Source organism: Homo sapiens, chromosome 1 (genome assembly GCF_000001405.40).
Source record: "Homo sapiens chromosome 1, GRCh38.p14 Primary Assembly".
Classification (NCBI taxonomy): Eukaryota; Metazoa; Chordata; class Mammalia; order Primates; family Hominidae; genus Homo; species Homo sapiens.
In genome coordinates this window covers 18,639,618-18,660,782 of record NC_000001.11, presented here as the reverse complement: position 1 = coordinate 18,660,782, position 21,165 = coordinate 18,639,618, and the positions used below count along the sequence as shown (strand labels likewise).

Here is a 21,165-nt window from a genome sequence, read left to right as displayed (position 1 = left end):
GACTGGGCCCCACCTCTGAGCCCCCTTCTGTTTTTTCACTCAGGATTCCTGAGCCCAAGGAGGCAGGCTTGTTTATAGCCCTGCCAGTCCTGGTGCCTTGGTCCCAGCTCAGGTCAGCTCTCTGGGGCTAGTAGGGGCTTTTGAACGTGGTAAATACAGGTTGCAGGGGTCAGGGGTCACAGCCCTTCCTAGGGGGAAGTTAGACTTGAATCATCCATGAAATAGTAATGCTCATCTTGGGGCGTGGAAGGGAGGCAGATTTCTTAAATTATGATGACTCCACAACAACCCTCCCTCCACCTCCCAGGCCTCAATCATCCCCCACTTTGGTTTCCCTGGAAGGACTTGGCATCTGGATTTTCCGTTTTCCTCCCTCCTAATTTTGTCCTTAAGCCAGAAAAAATAAGGTGTCTAGGGGAAGAGAAGAGCAGAAAGGAAGAGAAGAATGTGGCGTGTGTCAGAGGCCTGCTGTGTCCTGGGCAGAGTTGGGTTGGAGTGGTGTCACCTGTCTTCCACAGGTAGGGGGATGACTTGGCCAAAACCTCCCAGCCAGCAAGTGGCAGAGCCAGGATTCGAACTTGAGTTGGTCTAAGTCAAAGAGCCAAGCTCCAAATGGGAGGCCCATTTGGCCCTATCCTAGGGGCCCCTCCCCTGACAGAGGCTCCAATTTGGGAGCGTTGATAAGGAGGACACCCCAGGCTCCAGCCACTGGGCTCCAATTCTACCCACAAACGTGGACGAATTCCGACCTCCTACATCCATGCTTCCCCTCAACCACCCCACGCAAGGGGCAGATGCCGAAGGGTAAGGTCCTCGAGCACATGGCCCGCTGGGCTTTTCCCAATTCTTTTGCAGTCACTCTTCCCTTCCAACCCATTCCTTAACAAAGGTGGGAGGAGGTTGAGGCCGTTCCTTGTGACAGGTACCTGAGCCCCACGGACCTACGGGATTGATCCTTACACGCCAGGGGGTAGGGTGAGCAACAATCCCAGTCTGCCTGGGACTGAAGGCTTTTCTGGAATGTGGGACCCTCAGTGGGAAAACCAGGAAAGTCCCAGGCCAAATGGGACAGTTGCCTGCTACCAGGACTCAGAGGCAGGGTTCCCACCTCTCAGGCAAGAGCAGTTTTCCCTCCACCTGGCTACTTGCCTAAGGTCCTTTCCTTTCCACTCTCTCTTTCCCCAGGGGAAAAACCACCAGGGAAGGTGAGTACAAATGACCTCCCTGGCCCTGCTAGCAGGGAAGCTCCTTAGAAGGTGAAGGTAAATGGCATGGGTGGAATTCTCTACACCATGATCATTAGGGACACTCCCTTTTCAGGCCCCCTCAGTAGCACCCAAATTAAGACAGATGTGGGATTGGGAGAGAGGGAGGAAGAGAAGTGGAAAGGAGGGGGAGGGAAAGCCTTGCCTTCAATTCTCAGCAGAGGCCTGGCTGCCCCCTCCCCTTTCCTGCTCAGGTGTCTCAGAGAAGTTCTCAAGTTAGGGAGCATTTATTGAGCACCTGTTCTGCATATGGTATTGCACTGGCACTAAATAGGTGAGATCAAAGCAGAATAAAATGTAGTTGACTGGTCCTTGCTCTCAAAGAAGGTCCTAATCTGGTGCAGGAGCTGAAAACACAGAACAAAACTCACTAGGACAGTGAATCTGCAGTACACACACAGACACACACATACACACACATGTCACACACATGCTTATGTGCACACAGTCACATGCATGCACACAAATACATATGCACACACATATACATACAGGCATGCACACATTACACATGCATGCACACACAACACACACATACATATGTGTACACACACACATATACGTGCATGCACACACACATATGCACACACACTCTCCAGCTCAAATGAAGGAAATTTTGGAGTTTTGCATAACCCTGGCTTGTTTGAGCAAGGGTTCCCTTAGCATTGATAATGAAGAAAGGTTTCTCCCAAGGCAACTTCATGTTTATGAAATGTCAACCCCAGCCAGCTCTCCTACAACCTTGCCCAGCCACGTGTCCTTGGGGTCAGGCTTCTACCAGCAAACCTTCCTTGCAGAACACATTCTCTCTGAGCTGCCTGAGCCATAGTCAGCCGGGCAGAAGCCTGCCATAGAACTGGGGCTAAGATTTGCTTTTGGCTTTAACCCCTGTCCTGCATGCAGCAGCTGAAAATCAGGGTGAGCCCCCAAGAGTGGGCCAGGCCTAGAGTTGCATCCCAGATGATTCCCTGAGAAAGTTACTTCTCTCTTGCCTCACTTTCCCTTCCATCATGTGGGGCCAATAACACCTACCTTGATGAAAAAGTCTGCAGAGGCGATGGTACACCTGGGTCCCTAGTCCAGCCCCTGCTACACAGTAAGTGTTCGGAAACGGGGTGATTATTATAAGCATGCACTGGAAGGAACAGAAGCTTCAGAACCCCCTTCTCTTGCTGTCTTCCAGAAATACCCACCCTGGGGTCCCTCGAAGACACAGCCAGGATGGGCTCAGTAACATATGGCTCCAGGACCTTTGTGGGGGGAGGGGGAGGGCAGGAGCGAGGAGGGGCAGGTGGGGGCAGGGAAGAGGAGGAGAAGGGTGTATTTAAGAAAAAAGAAAAACCCACACAAAACCGACAGAATTCCAGCCGATTATTCCTCCCGCTGCAGATGTACATTAATGCAGGAGAAGTGATGGACGGAGCTTTGGGCTGGAAAAAGAGAAACAGCTCGCAGTTCCTTTTAACAAGCTGTTGTCTGGCTTGATCTTGTCACTCTAAAGAGGGCCATTGAGAGGTATTCATGCGTCGGCCCTGGGGGGACAAAAGGGCCCAGTATATATACTGACTGCTCAGTCGCCTGCGGGCCCTGGGGCCTTTGTCTAACCTTCCCTTAATAAACTTTTGGGAAGAGTTCATCAATCCGCTTCAATAGCTGATGTTCTCATTTTCAGAGAGAGAAGAAAAATAGCAGAAGGCTGGCGTCTTTTTTTTTAGGGGGCATTCTCAATAAGAAGGGGAAGGGGAGAGAGAGAGGAGAGAGAGAGCCAGCAGACACTCCGCTTTAAAGGGAAAAAGAACACACCACCACTGCAGTCGCAGATCCTAAAAGGCAGCCCAGACAAAACCGCTATTCATCGGGCCCCTGAATTCTGCTTCCCTTTAAGTGTCCCTGGGCCTAGCGGAGCTGGGTCCTGCTGGCAGCCTGGAGGAGGCAGAGGAGACCAGGTCTCTAGCTCAGAGAGTGCGGGCTAAGAAGAGGAGCTTCTTAGGAGGAAAGAGTGACAGAAAGCAAGAGCAGCCAGGAACCCTTCCTCTGGTTTCTCTTTCTAGATCTGGGGTCATTTGGTCTCTTTGCCATCAGGCAGTTTTTAAAAACTGCAGGCTTTTTTTTTTTCATGGAAGGTGGAGGCGATGGGGCCAGTTTTTCCTCCTCTGAGCACTTTTTCCTCTCCACATGAGGCTTCTGCTTCTCAGATCAGAGGGACCTCCACCCTTAGGCTGGGGGTGGAGTTTCAATCCCCAGCCCCTCTCCTGGGAGCCCATATCTGCCTCACTTTTGGATTAGGTCATAAGAAGGTGTAGCCTCTTATCACCCCCATGCTCCATGCCAAAGCAATGGGATCTCAACCTGTCCCCCTGATTGTGCGCTGCCTGGTAAGGTGGGGTCGTGGGTTGAATAGGGAGGGAAATAAAGAAAAAAGGACATTCCTGATATTCCTACAGCAACAGACACCATACTAGTTTTGATTCCATATGTGTTAACTCACTTCTTGACATGATCCTATTTTTTCTTTATTTATTTTTTGAGACAGGGTTTTGCTCTGTTGTCAAGGCTGCAGTGCAGTGGTGTGATCACGGCTCACTGCAACCTCGACCTCCCAGGCTCAGGCAATCCTCCCTCCTCAGCCTCCCGAGTAGCTGTGACCACAGGCGTGCCCCACCATGCCCGGCTAATTTTTTTATTTTTTGGTAGAGAGAGGGTTCGTGTCACCCAGGCTGCTCTCTAACTCCTGGGCTCATGCAATCCTCCTGCCTCAGCTTCCCAAAGTGCTGGGATTACAGGCATGAGCCACCACGTCTCGCCTCATTATCCCCCCCTTTTTTTTATGCATGCATTTATTTTACTCATTTTACTTTGGGAAACTAAAACTCAGGGAAATGGTCTGTGATCTAGAGTCTCATACCAGGAAGCTGAAATTCAAACTTGAATCTTTCCAAATCCAAACTTGAATCTTTCCAAATCCAAATTTCAAAGTGCTAAATGAAGCCGCCTGTTACATTTTATTTATTTATTTGTTTGAGACAGCGTCACTCTGTCACCCAGGCTGCAGTGCAGTGGCGGTATCTCGGCTCGCTGCAACCTCTGCCCTCCCAGGTTCGAGTGATTCTCGTGCCTCAGCCTCCCGAGTAGCTGGGATTACAGGTGTGCACCACCTCACCTGGCTAATTTGTTTTTTGTATTTTTAATAGAGACAGGGCTTCACCATGTTGTCCAGGCTGGTCTCGAACTCCTGACCTCAAGTGATCCACCTGCCTCGGCCTCCCAAAGTGCTGGGATTACAGGCGTGAGCCACTGCGCCCGGACTTGCCTCTTACATTTTAGATCATCAATCACAGCAACAAGAATAATAGCTACCAGTCATTGCACTCTTAAAATGCACCAGGCATTGTTATAAGCGCATTAGATGCATTATTTTCCCAACAGCCCAGTGAAATGGGTCCGTTATGACAATACCCATATCGCAGATGGGTTAAACTGATACACTGGCAAGGCTAAGGAGAGGGCTGCATTGGAGTGCCAGGAGGGTAAAGGCCGATTCCAGCTCAAGTCTGATGCTGCAAACCCCCAAGCTGTTCCGCCTTTGATGAAACACAGATGCAGGAAGGAAGGAAGTAGATGAACAAACGAATGTGACTTCTGCCCCTGCAAAGCCTAGGAGATGGGTCTCCCAGGGCCTGGTTCAGCTTTGGAGCACACACTCCCAGACACACACACACACACACACACACACACACACACACACACCCTCTCCAAGTCTCCCCAGTGGCTCTAGTTCAATGTTTTACAGGCCTAATGAGTGTTGACAAGTTTAATGAGTTTGTTTTAAAGAAGGGAGGGGGAACCTGGTCAAGTTGAGATTTCCGAGTCAAATGAATTAGCGGAGGCCGCCAGACTTCAGCTGACAGGCCTGGAAACCCTCCCGCCGACTGCAGCCCTGAGCCACAGGCCCCGGCTCCCCTCAATGGGAGCGAGGCCCCGTGCCAGACACTGGGGACTGTGGAGGGTGTCTGAGCAACCCTCAGGTGCCTGGGTCCCAGCTGAAGCCCATCTCTTCATCCTGCAGCCCCCTCCCTGCCAGCTCATCCCGGTTGGCCCCCTTCGGCTGGACTTTCCTCCCCCACTGAGTCCCCAATGAGAAATTTGATTCAAACCCAGTTTGGCACTTGTTTGCATATTGATTGCATGGTAATTAAGTGGCTTCATCTACGGAGGGGACGTGCCACCTGCATTTCTAAGCTCTGTAGTCATGGGCTGGGACCGGCCGCAGCCCTTGTTTCTGACCGTGGAAACTGGAATCCAGGGAGACCAGCTTCTGGCCCCTGGAAAGGAGTCACATTGTCTTCATTGAAAATAACAGTCTTTATTTTTTGCAGTAATGAGATGAATTGGGAAGGAGTTTGTGAAACCTGACTAGCTCCAGACAAAATAGCAGAGTTAAAATTAAATGATAACAATGATGCCCAAATTAAAGGAATGCATATATGGTTCTGGCCCAGGAACTAATATCACGGTGGCATTGTAGGCACGTGCCAAGCAAGATTAGTTCTTCCTTTGATCGGCTCCTCCCTTGCCACCCCAGGGGTGATAGGAGGCCCCAGGCCCAAAGCCTGAGAGGCCTGGATTCAAATGCTTCCTCTTGCCTCTTTCTTCAGCCCTGTGATCTCAGGCAAGTGACTTTACCTCACTGAGCCTCAGTTCCCTCATCTGTAAAATGGGATTAGTAAAACCTGTGAAGTTCATAGGGCTGTGCTGATTAAAGGAGCTGTGTCTAGCTCATGGTAAATCCTCCAGAATTCCAAGTTTGCTTTCCAGAGCTCCCTCCCAACTGGACGTGAGCATGCTCTGTTCATCTCTAATTATTACGGCCTGGCAAATTTGTACAAGCTACCTTGCAGCCCACCCGCTGTTGTGGTTTTTTTCCTCTGCTACCCTAGATAGTTCTCAGATGGCACCTGCCACCTTGCCACTCGCTGGGAAGAAGTGGGTGAGTGGAGATTTAGGAAGGAGGAAGGCATTGCACATGAGCACCAGATTTGTTTTACTGTGTTGCATTTTGTCATCCATTCTGGAGAACGGTGTTGGAGCTGGGTTCAGCATGCAGCTGGGATTCCAGCCCCTCCACTTCACGCTCTCCCACCTGTGATTATTTATTGCATATTTCCCCCTGAGAGGGGACACCCCTCCCCTTCTTTAACTCTCCCCTAATCACTGGTCTAAGGTGGTGGACTTGCACTTGAGCGAAGTGTTCTTTCTAGGGAAAATTTCTTTGCAGACTGTTTATCCTTTCAGCCAGGAGTGTGGAGCTGGCGGGTGGGGGGAGGGCTCACTGCATTCGAGCCAGAGCCAGCAGGCAGACTCTGTGAACTGCCTCTCTGGACTGGGCTGCTGTGCTCCTCGGGCAATTTCTTCACTTCCTAGGTCTTGCCATTGTTCAGGGCTGCAGCCAGCCAGCTGCGGGCGGCGTTCATCTTTGGCGTATTTGCAGTCCCGAGAAAGAAAGGCTCTCCTGCGACAGGGCTGGGCTGGGGGCCCATAGAATGGGCAGGAGCTGAGACACCAGAACGAGAATGGGGACATGCATGTGACCGCACACACGTCTGCCAGGCCCCATGACCGACGCTGGCGTTTAGACCTTTTGCTGGCATTTAAACCTTTTATTGTTACTAAAACCTTTCCTGGGGAGCAGGGAAAAGAGGCTGGACTCTGAAGGCAGCCCTGGTTTCCCTTCAGGCTCAGCCGCTTCTCAGCTAGATGACTTCAAGCAGATGACTTGGCCTCTCTAAGTCTTGGTTTCCTATCTGTAAAATGGGGGCAGATACGTTCAGAACCATGGACAACCCCCCCGACCTGTGCCTGGACATGGTGGAACTGACAAAGTCACATGGTACAGGTATCACTTGTTCTGCAGAAACACACCCAGATACATCCCTCCATCCATGTCATCAGCAGCTACACACCCATATCCACATAACCACAGACCCCTGAACACATTCTCAGACAGTACATTCCATATCACAGGAACACAGCCACCAGCACACCAACAACCGAAAGCGACACCTCCCCCAAGTCTAACCACAAACCAACGCCACTTCCTAACTCCCCAAATTTGATCCACTGTAACCGTGCGTACACAGCACCGTTGCAACAACAACAACAATATACACACACAAGTGACAATTCTTAAGTCCTTAACCAGGATTGCAATATTTATCTTGCAACTAATTCCCAAGGCTGACTGTGATTCCTCAATTCATAAACCCAAGCGCAAATCAAAATGCGGGCCAGGAAGCCCATTCGTGTAAAAAAAAAAGAAATGAAAAAAAAAAATGAAAAAAACCCAGCAAATCCTGATTCAATGAATCTTCCCTGAAGGATGAAACCCTTTCCCTGAAGGAGACAGGGAAGGCCATTCCCCAGGACAAAGGACCCTGTGAATCAGCTGAGGGTATTCCAAAGTCAGTGCCTGCAAAAGCACAGCTGTTGCAGCAGGAAGAGTTTGTGGTACCAGATTCAATGACTGGCTCTCCACTTGTTGACTGTGTGACTCCAGGCAACTGAGTAAACCTCTCTGAGCTGTGCTTTCATCTACAAAACTGGGAAAACAGATACCCACGGGGCATGGCTGGGGAGTTAAGGGAGGTGTATAGAGCACCTGGCTCAGTTTCTGGCACATAGCAAGAGGTGGGCAAGGGGAGGGCACAGGTGTCCAGTGAGATGGCCCTGCCCATCTGGACCCAAAGAGCTGAGGCACCTCTCTGTATGCCTCAATTTCTGTATCTACTAATGGGCTTCTTAATTAATAATCTCTCCTTTGAGGTATTCTTGGGAGGATCTGATGAATTCATTAATGTAAAGCACTTAACACATATGCAGTCAGCTCTCAACTGGCCATTGTCCTAAGTAGTAGATGTTTTCCATAAATGGTTACCTCTTTCCTTCCATCCAGGTTTCAGGTCAAATATCACCTCTTCTGGTGGCAGGCCTCCCTGATAGCCCAACTATTAATAAACATCACTCCTCTGTCAGTCCCTTTCTATCACAATTCTGCTTTATATTTGTCAAGCCCTTATCTACCTTCTGAAAGCCTTTCCGTATTGGTGAACCTGCTCTTCCCCCAGTGTGTGAGCTCTGTGCAGCCGGGACCTTGCGCTATTGCTGGCTGTGCTCCTAGGAATAGCGCCTGGCACATAGTGGGTTCTCAATACATTTTGCTGCAGGAATAAAATGGTAGTTCTAACTCTACCTTCCTGGGGCAATGGGGGGGCGGGGAAGAGAAGGGGGCCAGTTGAGGTTAAGGGTGGAGGCAGCCAGTGGCCCACCCTTCCCCTCCCACCCTCTACCGGCTCTGCACACCCCCACTACCCCACTCTGGAATGTGATTCCCAGGCTGTGGGCCCAGCCGGCCCAGCCTTTCCGCTGCTGCCCGGGATTCTCTTGCTGCCTCCTGCCAGGGGGCCGGTGAGCCTTGATGGGTTTACCTGAGTGTTAATCCCCCAACAATCCCCCCTGGCCTGACCTGAGAGCCAACTTCCATTCTTGTCCCGGGTCTAATTAAGTGCCTGAAATGCCACTTCCCCTTTCAAACCAGGCTGCTTTTCTCCAAGGCAGGCAGGTAAAGCCCAGCCTGCCTCTTTGAAGCAGCAGAGGCCGGAAGCCTCAGCAGGTGCATGAAGAGGCGGTGGGGTGGGGGGGGCGGGGAGGGGAGAGGGGGAGGGGTGGCACTGTGAAGCCTGGAGGGAGGGTGTTGGGGAGGGACGGAACTTTGAGAGGACAAACACCTGCAAATCTTCCAACTCAGGATGCTTAACCTTTGGGGGACCCTGAGCTCTGGAACACTCGGAATCTCTCTCCAGACTCATACCCACCACTGATAAATTAATTCTGCGGATTCACAGTCACCCCTTGAAGCTTCTATTGCCCCCAAGTTAAGCAGATGTGACACCACTTTCCTTCAAATATATATCTGCATCTGAACAGATAGATGGATAGGTAGATCTAGATAGAGAGACGTATCTAGATATCACTGTATAAATCTAGACAGTTATATCCCAACTCAACAAAGCTGTTGCTAGGGATAGAGAAGGATTGTTAATTTTTATTTTATATACTTTTTTACGATGCGAAATTTTACAAGTACATATTACTTTTGCAATAAATCTTTCAAAAACCTATAAAAATATATGCATATACATTTTAGAGCCACCGATGAGACAATGCGCTTTTGACTTGGGAAATTCTCAGCATATAGACTTTTAGGGATCATGTATTTCACACAAATCACTTTCAGGTCTTTCATCTCATTTTAAGCATGTACTTCCTATGTGCCACATAGCTTTTCTGTGTTTTAATTCATTTGCTCCCATTGTCTGGATGAGAAAACTAAGGCTGAGAGAGGGGAAGCCACAGCTCAGGGGACATGGTGGGGGCAGCAATGGGGAGGAACCTGGGTCTTACTGATTCCAAGTCCAGGGGTCCTTCCGTGCACTGAAGCTGCCTGTGGATATAAGGGCTCAGAGCCCAGAGCTGAGATGACAGTGAGTGTCTGGGAGACCATCCATGGCACAAGCAGGAGTTGGGGACAGTAGGACAAAGCAGAGGTCTTGCCCTGCCAGCCCCATTGTTCCCAGCATGGTACCCTGGCAGATGGGACCCTCAGTAGGGACAGGTGACCGTAACAAAAGCTGAGGGACCCAGAAACTTTGGAAGAATGTTCCCTTCATGGTGCCTGGCATAATACTTTGGGGACTGGGTCTCTCTTCTGACTCCTCTCCGTTTGCTATGCAACAGGTAACAATTCTCTTCCCTTCTTTGGGCTTCAGTTTCTCCATCTATAAAAAAAGGTGTTGCATGAGACCAGTGGCTCTTGCTGGGGAGGCCATCAGAATGATCGGGACAGATTGCTCCAAAGCCACTGTACTCAGATGTCCCAAATCAAGAAAGTACCCAGGTGTGTATGTCTTGCAAAAGCACCTGGGTGACTCCGGGGCACAGCCCTCTGTCCTCCGCCCTCTGCCCTCCTGCTCCTTCCATCCCCCACAGGCTGCATTGAATCCTCCTTCCAGCACCATCCCAGGATGGCATTGCAAGCCAGCTGCTCCACCAGGCCCCAAAATGAAGCACAGAGTGTGTAACTGCTTTCTGGTCACACAGCAAGCCGGGCAGGGACTGAAGAGGCAGATGTCAGTGTCTCTTGACCAGCCCTGCCCTTTTTCCAAAGAGACCTCCCAGCCAGGAGAGAAAGTTCCCTAATCAGAGGAATAGAAGAGGAGGATAATCATTTGTCACCAGATAAGCAGTTATCACCTTATCTCTGAAGACCAATAACCACAGCCTGAGGGCTCTGATTCCAGGAGTATACAGAGCTTCTTCCCCTCACCCTCCTCCAGAGTAGCCTTGGATGGGAAGTGGTCCTTGCTCTTCCCAGGACAAAGCCCTGCCTCCCCGGAGTTTCCTCTATCCATGGGGAAACAGGCTGTTTTTTCACTGCTTCCCCTCCACTAAACACACGCCCAGAGTATTACAGCTCAAAGGATGGCCCCTGAGGCTGAGAATCCCAGGACTCCATGGAACACAGTTTGAAAACCACTAGGTGGATCCTGCCTTGCCATTGTTCAGACAAAAGGACCAGGGGCCAGAGACATGAAGCGGCTCTTCCAGAATGACACAGCAGTTAGTGCTCAGGCTAGGGCCTCTGCATGGGGCCATTTACATGAGGATCTGAATTCCAACCCTAACCACAATCTGTGATTCTTTTCCCTCTGGGCTTTATTTTCCCTTGCTGTTGAAAGGACAGTTCCCCGGATGGTGGACAGACTAACCCTTCAGCAGGCCAAGTTTGTGGCATCTAGCAGGGCTTGAGATCCCAGTAGGTGCTTATGGGTGCTGGGAGTGTGGGTGATAGCGGGGTGGGGTGGGTGTGGCAATGGCTTGAACCACAGTCTCCCCTGGACCTGAGAATCTGGGGTTTATGAAGAACGGGGGAGGGGGATGGGGGCTGCAATTGTCCAGATGGGGTAAGAAGAGGAGATTCTTGCTGCCCTTCAGGCTTCTTAGGGCAAAGGTGTCAGAGTCCTGCAGAGCCTGTTAGAAGGGGACCCTCCTCCCCTTACTTCCTTGGGCTAATCAACTCTCTGTGCCTCAGTCTCCCCCTCTGTGAATCAGAACTTTAAGGCATGTGTCACATTAAACACGAAGGGCGATGAACTGCCAGCATGGGGAAAGGCCTCATTCCCATGGCTGTCCTTATCCCATGCCTTCCTAATTCCTGGGAGCAAAGCTTCCACCAGTCCGTTTTGCTCCTGTACCCGCACATAACTGTCAGCAGACCAGAGTGGCCTTCCCCTCCATTGGCCTCACTCATGTCACTCCCTCTGGACCTGAGCTTTTCCATCTGTAAAATGGCCAGATGACCTCTAAGGCCTGTTTGAGTCTGACTCCACCCTTTGTAATCTCAGCCTGCAGAGGAATTCCAAGTTCCCTTGAATGAACCTAGCAGCCAGTCACGGGCTCAGTACCCTTGGGCATCAGTGGCGGGAGTCTGGGAATGGGCTGCTTTCCTCCTCTTCCACCTCCAGCTGGGGCAGTCCTCTCCTAACCATGTCTCCTTGCATCCTCTGCTCTCCAGCCCCTCTGCACCTCTCTGCTCCTTTCCCACAGCCTTGACCTCCTAGCTGGTATCTCCACATCTTCCGGTACATTCTCGGCTCGGTGAATCCATCAGTCCCCTACTGAAATATCCTCCATGGCTCCCCGCTGCCCTTGGAATAAGTCCTACCTCCTTAACTTAGCCTTTGATGAGTCTGGACCGGCAGTGGGGGTTATCCTCCCCAGCACATCCCACACAACCTAGGGTTTGATAAATAGTAGTGGAATGGCTGGGCATGGCGGCTCATCACTATAATCCCAGCACTTTGGGAGGCCAAGATGGGAGGATCGCTTGAGTCCAAGAGTTCCAGAACAGCCCAGGCAACGTGGCAAAATCCTGTTTCTACAAAAAGACACAAAAACTAGCCAGGTGTGGTGGTGCGTGCCTGTAGTCCCAGCTACTCGGGAGGCAGAGGTGAGAGAATCGCTTGAGCCTGGGAGGTTGTGGCTACACTGAGCAGTGATCACACCACTGCATTCCAGCCTGGGTGACAGAGCAAGACCCAGTCTCAAAAAAAAAAAAAAAAAAAGACAAAAATAAAGTAGTAGAGTGAATGGATGAAGAGTGACATTGCCTTCAAAGAACTTCCAAATCACTGGAGTCAGGGCCCCTTTTCTGGGAGATGGCTGGGGGTGGGGAAAACAGCTGTGGTTGGGGAGGGGAGGTGACTGGGGGCCAGTCAGGTAGGAGCCTGTGTCACATACCCTCACCTACCTCCTTTATACCTGGAGGATGTTTTCACCATCTCCTCAAACCAGAGCACTCACCCACACCTCCCTACCCTGTCAGTCAAGGCTGCCCAGCCTCTGCCTGTGGGGACAGAAGCCATCAGGGGAGGGAAGTCCCTCCACACACAGAACAGTGTCTACTGGGCTCCAGGAACTGGCTCTGTGCGTTTCTACCTTCTTCTCTTGACCTTCTGCTGAATGAGGAGCTGCCCACAGAGCAGGTCTATTTCTTCTGTCTAGAACTGTAGATCAGGAGGGATACTATTTATTTGCACTTGGCTGAGCATCTGCCCCCACCCCACCTGCGCCCACATTTGGTGATCACTTATGGATTCACAGCCCGTTTCTTCCAAGGCCCCTATTATTTCTCAAGTCATAGGGGAGTGACTGAAAGAAGCCTTGGAGGAAATGAGGAGGCAGGAGAGGATGGGGGAGTGATATTTCTCCAGCCTCCCAGTTTGCCCTGTACTTTACGTAATTATAGCATTTACGCTTCCTAGCCTACTTTGAGGTTGTGTCCATGGACCCATTTTGCAGAAGAGGACATCTAGGATCTCAGAATGCTTCACTCAAAATTACCCAGATCTTTCAGAATCCAGGGTCCTCCTCTTTCTCCTTCAATCTCCTGCCTCCTTCTCCTCTCCCCCCCCACCCCGCCCAATTCAGGCATCTCCTCTACAGCATCCACTATAGCTGTGACCACAGATTCGCAGGCCACCACAGCGGGGATGACTTTTGGAGACCTCTGTACCCAGCTCCCTGGGGTCACAGAGGAGGACTAGAGAGCCTGAGCCACAGAGCCGCGTGCCCAAGCCATGTAGCACTTAGCGACAGACTGTCCAACGGCTGCAACTTTCTCCTTTCCTCCACCACCCCGTCCCAAGTAAGCAACCCAGCCCAGGCGGCAGTGGCGGCGGAGCCCAGGTCCTTTGCCCCCCTCCCCTCCGCTGGCCGGCGCGGGCAGCTGACCCAGCCAAGCTCAGCAGACGAGGCCCTGCACCAGGGCCCGGCTCCCCTCGCCCGGAGCTCGGTTTTGTTGTGGGTTTTGTGCGTTCTGTTTTGTTCCGTCCCCCGCCCCTTCCCGCGCGGGTCGCCCCTCCCCCTCCAGCCCTTCCCCCACCCCACCTCCGGGATCCCCGCCCAAGGCCCCAGCCCTCCCCCCCACCCCACCCCCGGGCTCCCAGCGTGCCCGCTCTTGACTTCATCCACTAAGTCAATAGCCCGGGCGCGGGCGGGCCGCTCCCCCCGCGCCGCGCCGCCCCGCGCCGCCCCCCGGTTTTCTTCTCGGGATAATGGGGGCTCTTTGTGGCCTAATCAGCCTCCTGAGGGGCCGGGAGGCCGGGAGCGCTTCCCCCGCGGCCGTCGGTGGAAATGAAAGCGGGATTAGGCCGGGGCCTCGGCCCACACCATAGTAAAGCGCCACCAGGCATTCGCCTCTTCAAAGCCGCTTTCGGGGGTTTGGTTACTTTATTTCTAAAGTTGTTTGTATTTCTAAAGTGGCCATTGAGGCGCGAGCGGGGACTGTGCCGAGAGGGCGGCGGGGAGGGGGCGCCCCGGGGAGGAGGACGAACTCCTGACGCCTCCCACCCTCTGCCCGCCTGCACCCGCTGACCAGTTTCCAAACCGCTTTCCCGGCCCTAATTTCCTGCTGCCTGGGGAGGCCAGGAGCGGCTCTTATCCTCACTAATCAGATAGGGAAACTGAGGCTCAGGTACCGCCGAGACGGAAAAGACCGGGTTTTTGGGGAAGAGGGTCGACGCAAAGGGGGCCATTTACAGCAGTAATTGCCTGTAACAGGCAGCTCTGGGCAAACCTCTCTGTGTCCCCTGTATGGGCCACCAGGCCACCAGAGAAAAAGTCCCAACCAGAACCTAATTTGAAGAGAGAGGGAGGTTCAGCCCCATTTATTAAAGAAAGTTCCAAGGCCTCTTTTCTTAGGGTTCACTCCGAGGACCTCCGACAAATCCCGGACATGCTGGGATTCTGCAATCATTCAGAATCTTCCCCCATGGAAAAGGTAGAACGGGTGGGCATTTTGAATTTTGGCATTTGCAGGCAGCGGGAGGGAGGAGAATGGAGGATGGGGTATATCCCCCCACATTGGACTTTATTTTTCTACCATATTTTTAGACCCTCGGAAGGGTGAATTCGAACTCAAGAAGTCCAGGCGGGAAGGAGAGCTGCAGGGTGAGGACCGCGGGAGGCGGGGGAAAGCGCCTTGCCAGGTGGCTTAGAGACCAGCTTCCTGAGTTAGGGCTGTGGTTACAAGAAAGTGCGGGAGACGGAGGTGCTTCTGCAGGCTTCCACTGGGAACAAGAGGTTCCAGAAGCTTCCTTAGGACTCCTCCTGACTCCTTCCAACTCCCAAGTCTGCAGCCCAGGTAAAGCCAGAGCAGACTTAAGGCAAGTTTTCAGGAAACCAGGAGGCTTGATCCAGACTCACAATCTCCCTGCAAAAGTGTTCAGAACACACCGCACAAACACACACACGCCTCACAAAACTTCTGAATGTTGCTCTGTCTCCACCTTCTCCAGTCACCGAAAGACCTCGGCCTGAATTGGAGCCCGCAGCCGTAGCTGTCCCTCTCCACCTGTCGCCCTCGCGGAGGCTTGGGACTGTAGAGAACCCACGGCCGGCCGCCCACTCGCCCACTTGGGTGAGGTTCTGTAGGGTCTGGGTCCCATGGAAAGGACCCAGAAAAGTTTAGGGTGGAGTTTTCCGAGCTACTTATCGCGCCCGCCGCCCCACCCCTTTTTCTGTCCCGCTCGGGGGCCTCTTTGATCTTCGGTCTTTTCGTGGTGTCAGACAAAGAGTGCAGTGAAGGCAAGAGGCTCCGCAGCCCAGCCGCTCCTCCCTCCGCCTCTCCCTCGAACCCGTGGCGAAGCAAGGCCCAGCCCGCCGACGCGGGCCACTCCAGAGGTCAGCTTGGGGGCTGGCTGCCAAATTCAGCCCCAGCCCCGCAAACACACTCTGCTGTCGTGCGCACGCACGCGCGCGCGCGCACACACACTCACACACCATTCACAAACACCCAGACACAAGACAGTCTTGCGAAGAGGGAAGCCCACAAAGCTATCCAGGTAAACACACAACAAACACATAACGAGACACATCTGTTTATTTGCGGGCTTGTTTATTTTCTGTCTCCACCGCCTGGCTCAGAACTCCATGAGGGCAGGGACCTTCTTGAGGTCACTTAACACAACGCCTGGCACCTAGTAGGTGCTCCAAAAATTTTTGCAGAATGAATGAAGACATTCACACACATACACTCCAGAGGAAAATTTCTCTTTTGGGTGGTATAGGTAAAAGGGGGAGCATAGTACACGTGCTTATATCAGCATATAAACACTTCCCAAAGGACCCTTCCAATACCAAGTGGGGTGGAGGAGAAGCTCTCCGCTCTGTTTTGGAGAGGGGAGGAAGCAGCAAGGACCAGACCAAGGGCAGGATCTCAGTGCCCCTCCGCCCCATGTCCTCATTTTGAGCTTCCTGATGCTGGAATCAGAAGCTCCCTGGAGAATACTGAAGTCATCAGGAAGCACGCAGATGTGAGGTTCTGAATGGGGTGTGGCCTCTAGAAGCCCCAAAGACCCCTTTATACTAGATGAAAAATTCTGCCTGTATGAAAGTATATAAGTATGTAAATGGCAAGGTTTTAGAATTATTTTTTCGGTTTTAGCCTATTCTTAAAGGGATCCAGGATCCCCTAAAAGGATAACAACATTTGTCTTAGCTAATTCTCTTTTTTCATGGAAGGAAACTGAGGCCCAAAGAAGTTGAATGGGTTGTCTAGAGTGATATCGCTAGTGAGTTGCGGGTGGGATGGACAGTAGAACCTCGACCACGATGCACTTTGCCCCTCTCAGATTGCTCCAGCCTGGCACACCTGGGTTCGGATGGAGAGCAAGGCGGTCGGAGGAGGGGATGGAACACAGCCGCGGGGGGCTGGTGGGTGCGACCTGGACCCGGAGTTGCACTAAGCCTTCAGCTCGCCCTGGGTTGCCTCCCCATTACTCGCCCTCCAGTCCGCAGCGTTCGCAGCCTGGAAGAGGGGAAAGTGGCCGGAGCGCCATCCCTTCCCAAGAACTTAGAAGGGGCGGCGGCTAAATTGGAAGGCGGCGAGCTTCACTCTCCGGGCAGTGAAGCCCGGGCCGGCCTGTTAATTTAGCAACGCTCTGAATGCAGTTCCCGGCCTCTCCCTCTCTCCACGTCCCAACACCGCCAGGCACGCGGGCTGGCCCCTGCCCAGCGCCCCGGGTTGGAGCGCAGAACCCGGCCTCCCGCCTCGGGGTCGGCCTCCCTCCCGCCCTGCCGGCCCAGCTCGCTCGCCTCTAATTAAGCGGCAGGATCGCAGCGAGCCGCCGGGACGTGCTGTAATATGATGAACTGCCTTTGTGCGGATGTCACCGAAAGCGCTTCTGATAAGGCGAAGCCACGAAGGATCAAAAGGGCGGCCGCGGCTCGCCCGCCTCCTATCTTCCCCTAGCCGCTGCCCGGCTTTGAGCACTCGCCCTCTCGGCCCGTGCTCTCCCGCGGGCTGTCTCTAGGTCCCGCTGGCTCTCCTGATCCGCCTGTCCCAGGGCCAGTCTCTCGGTGATTCTGCATCTCTTTGTCTTTCTTCCTGCTGCTCGGCGCCTCCCTCGGCGCCTCCGCATTTTCCAGCGTCCTCAAACTGTGCGCAAGATTCTCTTCTGCTGCGCTCAGACTTTCTCACTCTGAATTTTCTAGCTCTCTCCTCCTCTGTGGCTCTCTGTCTCCGCTGCCTCTCCCCACCCCTCCCTTGGTCTCCACCGGAGCTCGGGCCCAGCGCACCTCCAGGACCAGGGCGACCAAGCCATGGAAAGGTCCGTTCGCTGACCCTCAGACTGGGGAAATCGGCCAATTCACTGGCAGCCGACACGCAGAGCTCCGCGGCGGCCCCAGTGCCCCTCGCAATCCACCCTCGCTCAGCTCGGCTGCCAAACCGGGGGCCTGGCACGCGTGCCCAAGGCGCCCTAGAATGCCCTCGGGGCCTCTTTTGAGCTGGACTTGGGGCGCACACAACTTCCCTTCACCCCTCCCGAGGCTGTAGCGACCCGCAGACGCTTTTCCTCTCCCAGGAGGTTGAAGTTCCAAGTGCAGCCGACCCCCTCCCTTCGCATCCCCTCCCCACACCCTTTCCTTTGGCCCCCGCCTCCCCTTTGCCCTCGACCCCGTCTCTTCCTCCTCCAGGCCCCTCCCCTTCCCATGCTGGTAGTTCCCCCTGCGCTCTCACTGGACTCCTTCCCCGCCTCACCTCTCCCCCACCCCACTTCGTTTGAAGTTTTGGAGACATCTATCTACTAATGGCGAAGTTTCCCCCTTAGGTCACCGTTCTGCCTTGATTCGATTTGGGAAGGCGAGTTCCCTCCCTCCCTCCCCCTGCTCCACCCCAGCCGGGGCCAATCGCTCCAGAGCAGGTCAGAAAGCGCTGACCCCATTTCCACCTTTTCCTCTTTCAGCCAGAGTTGGGGGAAGGGGAAAAGAAGAGGGAAGGCCCCGGACAGCAAAAACTGAGGGGGGCATCCTAATCTTCCCAGCGCCTCTAACCCTCATCCTGTTTGCTAATTACCCCTTTAGTCTGCAATGGGAGGGAGAGAAGAGCTATTTTTCTGGAATTTCTGGAATGTGTCCTCCCCCCTTAGTCATGGCCTTCAAGGCCCCAGAGCCTCTAGAGAACCTTTCTTTGGGGGTCTCTCCTCTGTGCAGGAACCCTTCCCTCAACCAGGCATTGTCTTTTCAGGGGTGTGAGTTCTGTCTAGTCTTAGACTATGAGCTTCCAGGGCCACGGCCAGGACCTTGTACATTACATGTTTATATCCTTAGGTGCTCTTGCCTCACAGTACAGAATGAAGCCTCATCAACTTTGTTGATGGTGATAGAATGATGGCAAATAGAAACTCCAAAGAGGTAACCTGGAATGAAATCTCATTTGCTCAGCCCTCTTTTCCTATATAAAAATATGTTTTATATAATATTATTTATATATAATGTAATGTGTGACAACTATCATTTTCAGAAAGACATTCTTAAAAAAAAAAGCCCAAATAATCACCTTACTGCTTTAAGGCTACTGTTATATGTGCTTTTAAATCCTTCCATGTAAATTCCACTGAAAATTTGGAAAGCTGTGAAAGGGGAGGGGGCCGCGGGAGTTGGGGGGGGGGAGGTTAATCCGGGTTTAACGCTGCGATGCAGTCTCAGGACCAGGGTTAGCCTGATTGCGTTATCTCTTCCCAACATTTGAGACGCCCATATTTTACCCAGCCAAATAGCTCCGAGAGCAGCGCAGATGGCTGCTGTGGTCGCGCCTCAGGAAAATGTGTTATTAATATCTAAATAACTTCCCAATACTGTCTGGTAAATCTCCCCTCCACCATTCCAAATGATGAATTCGTTTGAAGTCTTCCCCCAGCCTCGTCTTTTCAATGTCTCTCTTCTCTCTTCTTCTTAGCCAGGCTTATTTCAAACTGGTAAATATCTAATTCCTTTAACCGCTGCGCCGTGCACACTAGTCTTTTAGGTACAAACGCCTTGAAACAGCCCAAGTGTGGCGGTGCGTGCCCCGAGGGGAACACAAAACCCGCACGCCCTCGCAGCGGGGGACCCCACCCGGTTCAGACGTGCCTGCGTTCCAAGACCGGCTGAGCACGGGAACCTCACTCAATCCGGGAACCGAGCCTCTTTTCTTGCGCGCCCTGGGGAGCCCCTCTTGGCTCCCCACGGAGTCCCAAAGGCACCCCCCAACACTCAGCTCTTCCGCAGCTCCCAGTCCCCTCCCTTCCACCCCTTCCCAGACCTCCGACGGCTTCCCCCGCTCTCTGGGGCGGATAATTGCCCTCCGCTCGCCTGTTCTCCCTTGTTTAAAGTTTGTTTTCTAAATGTCTTCTATTAGATTATGCTCATTCATCCCCCTCCAACCTTATCTCCTTCTGTCTCTTCTCTCCTTGCTCGTCACACTCAATTTAGGCACGAGTTTATCTAGCAAACAGTTTGCAGACTTTGTTTATTTACCGCGGGTTCTGGGGCTGCGAGCGCGCGAGCGCCAGTGTTTGCCTTTGTAATAGTTATCTCCTCATTGTTGTTTCTCGTTAGTCTCTGCTCCCGCCTCCCCCTCTCTCTTCTTCGGTTGGGGGGATGGAGGGAAGAAAAGGGGAGCCTTGTCAGCCCAGTGTGGGCTCGGCCCCTCGCCGGGAGCCCCCTCCGCCGGGAGCCCCCTCCGCCGGGACGTTCCCAGCTCCGCACGCCCCTCTCCGCTCGCCCCATCCCCCCCAGCCCCCGGCCCGGCGCGCCCCTCCAGCGCCCCCTCCCTCTCTCCCTCTGGTCGCACTGGATATCCACCGCCGAGCGCTGCCTAAAGCCGGGAATTGCCTGACACCCTCCCATCTTCCTCCGAGCCCCCATTATGCGAAGCTGATCCCACTCTGAACAGCTTCAAATCCCGCCTGGACTCTGTTTGATTAGATTGCCAACCCGGGGTAATCCTTTGATTTGGTGGAGTGTCAATTACCTTTCTCTAAACACACATTTACAGAGGAGGGAACTTGTTGGTTTAAATCAATGCAGATTGTTTCGTGATAAATGGACTATCCTCGTCCCCTCCCTCGCCCCCGCTTCCAAGGCTCCTGTCCCTCTCCGCCCCCGCCCCTTCCTGGTTTTCGAAGATCCCGTAAACAATGTCCCTTCCAGGTGTGAAGCCGAAAAAATGGTGTGGGCTGAGGGGAGCCGTGCCCCCCTTCCCCTATTCACTCGCTCCCCCGGAGCCTAATTAAATTTGGCAGGTCCTTGTACACACAATCAAAACAGCTTCCTCCAGTGTAGCAAACGACCGAAAACCGCATTAGCAGCTATCGCTGCTGCCAAATTAAATTGTTTCCCACCTCCTTTTACAAGTGTCTAAAACCGACACTCCGGGCTCTCCCCTCCTTTCCGATCCTTCCCCGTCATTTCCCACTCCACACCTGTAAGTTTGCTGCCTTAAAAATAAATAAAGGAAAAATACAAAGAGAAACAAATCTGCCTCACTCGCCGTCCTCGCCAATCCTCCCCCCACCTCAGATGGTCTTTCACACCCAGGAAGTCTGCAAATTCTCCACCTGGACTTTGACACCCCCAGGATTTCCCCCCCGCCCCGTCCCCTGGAGAAAAATGCTACCTCCACTACTACTACTTCTTTTTTCTAATCTTGTAACTTTTCCCTATATTTCATATTAATTGTAACCTCATTGGCCTTTCCATCCTAGAGAACAAAGCGGAGCCCCTGGTCTGATCCGGTCAGTTTTGGCTTAAACTGGTGCACTGTCAGATGCATGCGGCTTTGGTGTTCTTATTGTTTGTCACTGCTGTTATTGTTTTTTATACTATTGCTTATTTCTTCACACTCACTCCCTCAGCTCCCACTGAGGAACGGTTTGACCCATTGCAAACCCCTATCAAATTCCCCACAAGAATCTCTCTGAGCTCAGATTCTATGAAAATCTTTTCCTTTCTCTTCTCTCCTCAA

General features: G+C 52.7%; 1 protein-coding gene across 3 annotated transcripts in view, besides 5 other annotated features; it reads right to left on the bottom strand.

The window, feature by feature from the left end:
- PAX7 (paired box 7) overlaps nucleotides 1–21,165 on the bottom strand; it is a 118,021-nt gene that overhangs the window by 88,084 nt on the left and 8,772 nt on the right. The window lies entirely within an intron of this gene.
- Nucleotides 6,514–6,808: a silencer, noted in NCBI's record as "tiled region #1855; K562 Repressive non-DNase unmatched - State 20:ReprD". NCBI's record gives its function as "represses a minimal TATA promoter and a strong SV40 promoter by Sharpr-MPRA in K562 cells {active_cell/tissue: K562}" and the evidence as "EXISTENCE:reporter gene assay evidence [ECO:0000049][PMID:27701403]".
- Nucleotides 7,252–7,408: a silencer, noted in NCBI's record as "fragment chr1:18979869-18980025 (GRCh37/hg19 assembly coordinates)". NCBI's record gives its function as "represses an EF-1alpha promoter that drives an FKBP-Casp9 reporter gene in an ReSE screen in HepG2 liver carcinoma cells {active_cell/tissue: HepG2}" and the evidence as "EXISTENCE:reporter gene assay evidence [ECO:0000049][PMID:32094911]".
- Nucleotides 8,391–9,180: an enhancer, noted in NCBI's record as "OCT4-NANOG-H3K4me1 hESC enhancer chr1:18978097-18978886 (GRCh37/hg19 assembly coordinates)". NCBI's record gives its function as "activates a minimal SCP1, AML or CMV promoter by ChIP-STARR-seq in naive H9 embryonic stem cells {active_cell/tissue: H9 hESC(naive)}" and the evidence as "EXISTENCE:reporter gene assay evidence [ECO:0000049][PMID:30033119]".
- Nucleotides 10,623–11,252: an enhancer, noted in NCBI's record as "NANOG-H3K27ac-H3K4me1 hESC enhancer chr1:18976025-18976654 (GRCh37/hg19 assembly coordinates)". NCBI's record gives its function as "activates a minimal SCP1, AML or CMV promoter by ChIP-STARR-seq in naive H9 embryonic stem cells {active_cell/tissue: H9 hESC(naive)}" and the evidence as "EXISTENCE:reporter gene assay evidence [ECO:0000049][PMID:30033119]".
- Nucleotides 19,311–19,832: an enhancer, noted in NCBI's record as "H3K4me1 hESC enhancer chr1:18967445-18967966 (GRCh37/hg19 assembly coordinates)". NCBI's record gives its function as "activates a minimal SCP1, AML or CMV promoter by ChIP-STARR-seq in primed H9 embryonic stem cells {active_cell/tissue: H9 hESC(primed)}" and the evidence as "EXISTENCE:reporter gene assay evidence [ECO:0000049][PMID:30033119]".